We start from the raw sequence: 9,995 nt of genomic DNA on the forward strand, positions 1-9,995 counted from the left end.
AGAGTGCCGGGATTACAGGCATGAGCCACCACACCCAACCTCATTTCTACTCTTATTCTAGGAATGGCTGTAGCTACCCTCCACAGGGGCAGAGACACAAGCTTAGGTAGCTGAGCTAGCTCTTCCATGCCCCTCATGGGAGTCAAGAACCAGAACTTGAACTAAATTCTGTGCTCTGCTTAGTTTTTATTGTAAAATGAGGCTTGATGTGTTGCAAATACTGTTAATATGTTGTGGATTATTGAAGCAATTTTTAAAATTTAATTCCTTGTGTTTTGGATTTTTTAGAAAACTGCCTTTTCAGTCATCGAATAAATATTAATTGATTTACTTTCTCATGGAGTCAATTCTATTTTCCAAATGCTTCATATGTCCCAGGTTGGGTGACCTTCACTGTCCTTGAGTCCAACAACTTTGCTTTGGGGACTATTCCCATAACATTTGATAAGTAAGTAAAGAATAGTTCTTAATACATTCAAGGAAAAGAGCCATTCATCTTCAAATCCAAGCACTTAGCATAGGGAGAGGCATATATAATTAGGTGCTCAAAAAATATTGTGTGATGAATAAATGACTCTTTTCCTACCTAGGGAATATGCTTTTCCTGTGTTACTCAGAGACAGATACCGTCTGCAGTCTGCTCAGATCTTCTTGGATGTCTTTGATGCCTTCACAGGCATTTGTGTGCTTTTCTTCTAATGACCTATTCTTCTGACTCTTTTCAGAGGGTTGCCCTTGAGCCCCTTTGACTGTTCTACCAAAGACCCGAAGTTTGCTCCCCACCCCCACCCTGCCCAGGCAGCCCTGAGCCAGTGACTGACAAGGCAGAAGTCTGAAGCTGTTTCCTTGCCAATAGTTGGGACAGAGTGAAGAAAGGTTTTCATTCCAAAGCTCCCTGGCAGCATCAGATTGAAATAAAGACTCTGCCCAAAATCACATTCTTACTTTTATTGTCTTTCACTCTCTTACCAGCTTCTCCTGGAAACACTTCCTTCATAAAATATTTATATATAAATCCAGGTCTTGCTGTCTGCTTCTGGGGAACTCAACTTAAGAAAAGAACTAAGCGTGTCTAATGTTTGTACTCACTACATCTGTAGGTACCGACAACCCGTTCTTTCTCTGGGGAGGAAAACCACCTGCCTCGTCCCATTCTCTCACCTCTTACTCAATTCTCTCACTTCAAAATCTACAGTGTCTTTTCTCCTTAATTTAAAATTGTCCATGTAACCATGCTGAGTTTGGTCTGACCATTCTTTCTCCTTAAGGTGTTAGAATTGTTCCAGGATAATTCAACAGGTCACCTTCTGTTCCTGGAAATCTGTTCACTATTGTCAAGGATTTTAAGCTTGTCAAAGCATATGCCATGTTGCCCCCGTGCTCTGTGTATTAGCTGCAGGGGAACAGAATGTCTGCTTAATTTAATATTCTGGAAGGCCTTCCACATGACTGGCCACAAGAACAAATCCACACAAACTCCCAGTTGTATGACTTGTCTGATGACAACAGTAAGTGCCAGTGATAATGACTGTCCAGTGTTAACTGTGTTTGTCAGTTAAGTCACCAACCTGCGTCAGACCAGTGGCCAAACACGTGCCCCAGTATAGTCGGGTCAATGCCTTGGTGAAGACTAAACTCCCACCTCTTCTCCCCTCACTGCTGCTAAAAACGCTCACAACCATTGAGACCAGTAAATGGTGCTGGGCAGAGGACAATAGCATTTCCGAAACTATTGTGGCTACTGAAAGAACAGGAGTTCAACTGTATTTGTGGATTCAAAAGAAGGAAGAAAACAGCTGTGATGAGGTGCGGTGGTTACAAAGATGGAGAATGGACAGAGGCCTTCCAGAATGAGTCAGATCACAAGATCTATCTTAAGGAGAATAATCTCTAAACTGATGTTGCAAGGCAAATTGATTTGTTACTACTCAATTGCAGATGATCTAACCTAGTTGGCGAGATGAGGATTTCCTTAAAATATTCAAACCAGAGAATGGTCCAGGATCAGTTATTCTTTTTCTCCCTTATCTGGAGGGTGGATTAGTTTGTGTATCTCAGAAACTGGAGTTTTTGGCTGGGCGCAGTGGCTCAAGCCTGTAATTCTAGCACTTTGGGAGGCTGAAGCAGGTGTATCACGAGGTCAGGAGTCCAAGACCAGCCTGGCCACGATGGTGAAACCCCATCTCTATTAAAAATACAATAATTAGCTGGGCATGGTGACAGGGGCCTGTGATCCTAGCTACTTGGGAGGCTGCAGAGAATTGATTAAACCCGGGAGGCAGAGGTTGCAGTAAGCCAAGATTGCGCCACTGCCCTCTAGCCTGGGTGACAGAGTGAGACTCCGTCTGAAAAAAAAAATATTGTGGAGTTTTTGCATAAATTTTCAACTAATTTGAAGAATACAAGTAACTAAACCCCATTCTGTGTTTTTGTCCATGGATCAAGGCAATGCTTTTCCCCATTGAACTCAGCCACCAGGTGATTGTTTTGTCAATAGTTCAGTACTTAGAGCTCTAACAAAGAGCAGGGATAAATGGGCGCACCTCAAGGGAGAGAAGTCTGTCAGCAGGATTTCCTTTCACCAGGGACTGCTTTTGTAATGTAAGGTAGAGAATGCACAGTGACAAACAGAATTTACAAAGGAAATGTACCACAAAAAGTTCTCTCAATGCAGGGTGAGTGGCAGAAAAAATTGTAGATGAGTCTCCATAGGGACAAGTGCAAGATAGCACATTTGAAAGAAAATAATCTAAGTTGTTCTTTTAGGACTATGGTTTCTAAACCTGATCCATCGTTAGATCACCTGGAGAGCTTGATAAAGATATAGCTCCCCAAGACCCATCCTAGAGATTATGATTCAATATATGTCTCATCAGGCTCAGGAATTTATTTCTAATAAGCTCCTTGAGGATTTTCATGATGGGTCAAGTTGGAGAGTCATGTTCCAAAAAGAAGCCTATGAATTTCTGTGGACTACTCTATGGAGAAAGTAAGCTATCACATGGCGTGACAGCAAAAACAACAACAACAACAAAAAAAAAACAACAAAACTAAACATAACCTACAAATATGTCCAAATCTGGGCTGTCTTGCACAGGTCTTTGCATCTCAAGGGAGATCTCATAGACTTGGAAATTATCCAGAAACTGCCAGTTTAAAAAACCATTCTTCAGGATAGTTAGATGATAGGATAAGAAGAGCTGCAAAAGAAAGCTTACTCATTCAAAGCATAAGTAGTGAAATCTGCAAACGAAGGCTAGAGGTAGGTTGCTCTGTATGTTATTTAAATAAAATAAGAATAAACAGTCTAAGTAAAACATAATTTAAACAAACAGCAAAACATGGATAACTACAATTGCATTAAAATAGAATTAAATGCATTCAATTCCTGGAAGTCAATAGTATGTTCACTAATTTCACTCATTCTTCATTCATGCATTCTTCAATTTGTTCTTTTACTGACTCCCACGACACAATAAATAGCTATATCATGTGTAAAGCCAAGACTTAAGAAGCTTCCTTAAAGTTTGAGAGATGAAGAAAAAGAAATTATGTGCCACATTTAATCTCCTTTGATTTTTGCTATTATCAATGAGATCATAAATAATATTTTCATACCAATAGCCAATTGGAGATATAGGAAAAAACAAATTGTTTTCCCTACTCTCACACACCACTCAACACAACACTTTTGACATCAGATGTAAGCCAAGCAGTTCTCCAGTGGACACCAGCTGGATGTCCTATGATACAATTGAATTCTGACCCTATCTGCCTAGAGATAGTACGAAATCCCACAGATTAAGGACTTAGTCTCAAAAGACTGCCCCAACCTCACACACCCATTGCAAGTTGTAGGTTGTCACCTATGCTTCTGACCAACTGGGTATAAACTGGGAGTCCCATTACCCCCTCCATGGGTTTGATTAATTTGCTAGGATGACTCACAGAACTCAGGAAATGCTTTACTTGTGTTTACCCGTTTATTAAGAAATATAATAAAGGATACAGATGAACCGCCAGATGAAGACATACACAGGCAAGGTCTGGCAAGGTCCCGAGTCCAGGAGCTTCGTCCCTGTGGAGTTGGGGCGCACCACCCTCCCTGCATGTGGATGTGTTTGCCAAGCTGGAAGCTCTCTGAGCCCCATAGTTCAGACATTTGTATGGAGGGTTTATCATGTAAGCATGACAAATTATTAGGTCCACTTCCAGCCCCTCTCCTCTCTGGTGAGTGGACAGTAGGGCTGAAAGCTCCAAGCTTCTAACTATGGCTTGGTCTTTCTGGTGGCCAGTTCCTATCCAGGAGCCCACTAAGAGTTGCCTCTTTAGAACAAAAGATGTTCCTATCACCAGGAAATTTCTAGGAATTTAGGAGCTCTTTATTAGGAATTGAGGTCAAAAGCCAAATACTAGAACAAAGGATTCCCCTGTCACCCATACCTGCACGGGTGTTAGGAGCTCTCTCTCAGAACCTGAACAGAGACTAAACATTAGAACAAAAGGTTCTCCTGGCATGCTTGTTGCTCAGGAAATTACAAGGGTTTTAGGAGCTCTGTGACAGAGACTGGGGTCGGGGATCAATATAGTATTTCTTACTATTTCACAGTGAAGGAAACCAAGACACAGACATAGTGACTAATTTGCTCAAAACGGCAACTCCGAGAAGTCTGGATTAGAACTCAAATCTGTCTGATTCCTAAACTTGTACCTTTAACCTGCCATATGCCACTGCCCCAAAAGGGTCACCTTTGAGATGAACTTTGTTGAAGAACTGTGTGGCCTCTAATGATAAGGTCAGACTTGGGACACTGGTCAAAGTCTGAGGCTTTGGCTAGCATGGCATCCAATGCCCCCAAGGCCAGTTCTGCCCCCACACAGGCCTACGTACAGCTAGACTCCTGCTGCCTTGAGCCACCCACTGTGCCCTGGGCCACCTGTGAAGCTCCCTGACTGCTGCACGAGACTGAGATGTGGGCAGACACAAAGATTTGGATTTTCCCATGTATAACTCTTGGCATCCAGACCACCTGGATTCCAGGAACCATCTAGGGAGTATCCAAGCCTACAAAATTATCCCCAGATCAAGTTACCAATTAGTCATGCATTGTGACTGAATTCCTGAGGCTATTTAAGCCTTTATGAAATTCTCAAGGCTAACCTTGGGCTGGGTCAAGAGAAAACTGGCTCGGCTTTCAGGAAGAGCACTCAGCCAGCTGGGAGTCACTCCATCTTGTATTGTGTTTAGTTCCTGAGCACACCAGGAACACATGGTGGCCCTGAGGCTCTGCGGTGCTTTCTGAGAGGATTCTCCCTGTGACCGTCCTCGTGCGGACTTTCACCAAGTGGGCATTCACCTTGTGGGGAGATGTCTTTCCTATCTTATAACCTGTGTTTCCGTGGCCATGTAAACCCGGGACCATAGTCAAAAATGGGACCCTGGAAACTCCACTGCTCTGGAGTCCCTCCTGAGTCATTGAGAGGTTCACAGGGATCCTCCGCACGTGCTGCACAGTGTGCTGTGCTCCTGTGACACCATGCCCTTCCCTCTCACAGTCTGTGTGGCCACAGGCCACTGCTTCGAGATTGTCACGGCTGCTTCCATGGTCAGGCTTGCTGGGGGCATTGCCTGACCCTGAGGTTGGTGGCAGGGGACCCCAGGCCTCCATGATGTGCACAGATACCCTGTATCATCCTTGGCCCTTCTCTATCTCTCTTAACCACTTTCTTTCTCCTTTAGCCGCTTATAGATATGCGAAGACTCTTTATGTCACCTGTACTTCTGTGTGTGACAGCATCAGCCACTAGAAACACACATCTCTTGGGTGGTGGCTCATGCCTGTAATCCCAGCACTTTGGGAGGCCAAGGTGGGTGGATCACCTGAGGTCAGGAGTTCGAGACCAGCCTGACCAACATGGTGAAACCCCGTCTCTACTAAAAATACAAAATTAGCCAGGCGTGGTGGTGGGTGCCTGTAATCCCAGCTACTCGGGAGGCTGAGGCAGGTGAATTGCTTGAACCCGGCAGAGGTTGCAGTGAGCCAAGATTGCACCATTGCCCTCCAGCCTGGGCAATAAGAGTAAAACTCTGCCTCAAAAAAAAGAAGAAAGAAAAAAAAAGAAACACACATCTTCCACTTGTGTTCCCACAGTCACATCACTGCCAGGTGACGGAGGCCACAGGGGGATTTTCTCCACCTTGCTTTTATTACACTCTGACATGCAGACCACAGATCACAGGGTGGATCTCTCTTGCGCATGCTTCATATATATGTATACACACACACACACACATACACGTATGTGTGTGTGTGTCTGTCTGTCTCTATCTCTACATAACTTTTTTTGTCATAGCTTTCTTTTCCAATGGTCCTTGCAAGAGTCCTAAAGATAGGGTGAAACCAGGCCACAGACGGAAAAATTCATACCCCATTGTCCTCAAACTTTGCGCTTTCCCTTATATCCAATGTTTGGGTTTCAACAAGTTTGTTTGGCTCAACTCTTTATCTTTTATCTTCTTTGGGGTTTAGTATCTTCCTATGTGGGCCCTTGCACTCTCATGCAAATAAGCCTGTGGTGTCTTCTACACATTGAGATAGTCTTTGTAGCACACACCTAACTCTTATAATTCCACACCACACTTCTACATCCTCACTATATAAATAGCCAAACTTATTAAACACAACATTGAAATCACTATACTTTATACTTCTAGTTGTTTTTATTCATAGCCCTATTGTTGAGTTAAGCTTCAGTGTACTGGATGAAAAACAGATGTTCACAGACAAAGGATGAGAAATAAATCAACAAAATATCCCAATGATTACATTTTTTATGTAATCATGTGACAGCTGCTTGCCGAGCCCCTAACCATAGCTCTGTGCTAGGTGAAGGATGGGAAGATGAGACAACTCAGGCCTGGCCCCTAGCCTCACAGAATGTACTCTCTAGTTGAAGTGGGGTTGGGTGGGTGGGAGATATGGTATGTTAAGGCACTACAGGACCATGATGCAAGGCAAAAACAACAACAACAACAACAACAAAACTGCATGCCACACAAAGGATAGATATGTAGAACGTGATGGTTGTGTAGAAAAAGAGAGCTTCTTTCTGGCTTGGCAGGTCAGGTGGTATTCTAATGGGATATTATTACTGAGAAATGAGTGGGATTTGGATGTGTCAAGATGAAAGTAAGAATTACTGATGCCCCAAAAGAGAAAACACGAGCCAAGGTATTACATTAGTCCATTCTCACACTGCTATGAAGAAATACCTGACACTGGGTAATTTATAAACGAAAGAGGTTTAATTGACTCACAGTTCTGCATCGCTAAGGAGGCCTCAGGAAACTTACAATCATGGTGGAAGGTAAAGGAGAAGCAGGCACCTTCTTCACAGGGCAGCAGGATGGAGTGAGTGGCAGCAGGGGAAATGACAGACATGTATAAAATCATCAGATTTTGTGAGACTCACTCACTATCATGAGAACAGCATGGCAGGAACTGCCCCATGATCCAATTACCTCCACCTGGTCCCACTCTTAACACATGGGGATTACGGGGATTACACTTCAAGGTGAGATTTGGGTGGGGACACAGAGCCAAACCACATCATGCTGCCCCTGGGCCCTCCCAAATCTCATGTCTTCACATTTCAAAACACAATCACACCCTTCCAATGGTCCCCCGAAGTCTTAATTCATTCCAGCATTAACCCAAAGTTCAAGTCCAAAGTCTCACCTAAGACAAGGCAAGTCCCTTCCAGGTACGAGCCTGTAAAATCAAAACCAAATTAGCTACTTCCTAGATATAATGTGGGTACAGGCATTGGGTAAATACACCCATTCTGAATGGGAGAAATTGGACCAAGACAAAGGGGCTACAGGCCCCATGCAAGTCCAAAATCCAGTCGGGCAGTCATTAAACCTTAAAATTCCAAAATGATCTCCTTTGGCTCCTGTCTCACATCCAGGTCATGCTGATGCAAAAGGTGAGCTCCCACAGCCTTGGGCAGCTCTGCCCAAGCTCCCTGTGGCTTTGCAGGGTACAGGCCCCCTCCTGACTGCTTTCATAGGCTAGTGTTGAGTGCCTGTGGCTTTTCCAGGCTCACAGTGCAAGTTGTCAGTGGATCTACCCTTCTGGGGTCTGGAGGATGTTGGCCTTCTTCTCGCAGATCCACCAGACAGTGCCCCAGAGGGGACTCTTTGTGAAGCCTCCAACCCCACATTTCCCTTCCACACTGCTGTAGCAGAGGTTCTCCATGGGGGCTCTGCCCCTGCAGCAAACATCTGCCTGGACACCCAGGTGTTTCCATACATCCTCTGAAATGTAGGTGGAGGTTCCCAAACCTTAATTCTTGACTTCTGTGCACCCACAGACCCAATACCATGTGTAAGCCGCAAGGGTTTGGGGCTTGCACCTTCTGAAGCAACAGCCTGAGCTGTACATTGGCCTCTTTTAGCCACAGCTGGGACTGAAGCAGCTGGGAATCAGAGCACCATGTCCGGAGGCTGCACAGAGGAAGGGGGCCCTGAACCCAGACCAGGAAACCATTTTTCCTTCTTAGGCCTCTGGGCCTGTGATGGCAGGGGCTGCCATGAAGGACATTTTCCCCATGGACATGCCATGGAGACATTTTCCCATTGTCTTGGTGATTAACATTCAGCTCCTTGTTACTTATGGCAAATTGCTGTAGTAGGCTTGAATTTCTTCCCAGAAAATTGGTTTTTCTTTTCTATTGCATCATCAGCCTGCAAATTTTCCAAAATTTTACACTCTGCTTTCTCTTGAATGCTTTGCTGCTTAGACAGTTCTTCTGCCAGATATCCTAAATCATTTTTCTCTCAAGTTCAAAGCTCCACAGATCTCTAGGGCAGGGGCAAAATGCCAACCAGTCTCTTTGCTAAAGCATACCAAGAGTCACCTTTGCTCTAGTTCCCAAGAAGTTCCTCATCTCCAGCTAAGACCACCTCAGCCTGGACTTCATTGTCCATATTACTATCATCATTTTGGTGACAACCATTCAACAGGTCTCTAGAAAGTTCCAAACTTTCCCACATCTTGCTGTCTTCTTCTGAGCCCTCCAAACTGTTCCACCCTCTGCCTGTTACTCAGTTCCAAAATTGCTTCCACATTTTCAGGTATCCTTATAGTAGCGCCCTACCATTTCGGTACCAATTTACTGTAGTAGTTTGTTCTCACACTGCTATGAAGAAATACCTGAGACTGGGTAACTTATAAAAGAAAGGGATTTAGCTGACTTACAGTTCCACATTGCTGGGGAGGCCTCAGGAAACTTACAATCATGGCAGAAGGTAAAGGATGCACTTTTTTTTTTTTTTTTGAGACAGAGTCTCACTCTGTTGCCCAGGCTGGAGTGCAGTGGCAGATCTCAGCTCACTGCAACCTCTGCCTCCTGGCTTGAAGCAATTCTCCTGTCCCAGCCTCCTAAGCATCTGGGACTACAGGCGCCTTCATGCCCAGCTAATGTTTGTATTTTTAGTGGAGACGGGGTTTTGCCATATTGGCCAGGCTGGTTTTGAACTCCTGACTTCAGATGATCCACCCGCCTTGGCCTCCTAAAGTGCTGGGATTACAGACATGAGCCACCGCACCCAGCTGCAGGCACCTTCTTCACAGGGCAGCACGATGGAGTGAGTGCCAGCAGGAGAAATGCCAGACACTTATAAAACCATCAGATCTCATGAGACTCACTCACTGTCACAAGAACAGCATGAGGGAAACTGCCCCCATGATCCAATTACCTCTACGTGGTCCCACCCTTGACACATGAGGATTACACTTCAAGGTGAGATTTGGGTGGGGACACAGAGCCAAACCATATCAGCTATTGAGGTGGGAAAGTGAGGACTGAGTGCTGAGAGTAATAGGAAATTCAGTTTGCTGAAGTAGAGAAGGCAATAAGGGAAAAGATCTGAGATGAAACCAGATGTGGCCAGTGGAGAAGGACTTGAAATCCTTAGTAAGCAATGTGTA

The 9,995-nt window shown here is 44.5% G+C and overlaps 1 annotated feature.

Moving 5' to 3' along the window:
* Positions 2,257 to 2,825: an enhancer, noted in NCBI's record as "OCT4-NANOG hESC enhancer chr3:193107044-193107612 (GRCh37/hg19 assembly coordinates)". NCBI's record gives its function as "activates a minimal SCP1, AML or CMV promoter by ChIP-STARR-seq in primed H9 embryonic stem cells {active_cell/tissue: H9 hESC(primed)}" and the evidence as "EXISTENCE:reporter gene assay evidence [ECO:0000049][PMID:30033119]".

Source organism: Homo sapiens, chromosome 3, assembly GCF_000001405.40.
Source record: "Homo sapiens chromosome 3, GRCh38.p14 Primary Assembly".
NCBI classification, from domain to species: Eukaryota; Metazoa; Chordata; class Mammalia; order Primates; family Hominidae; genus Homo; species Homo sapiens.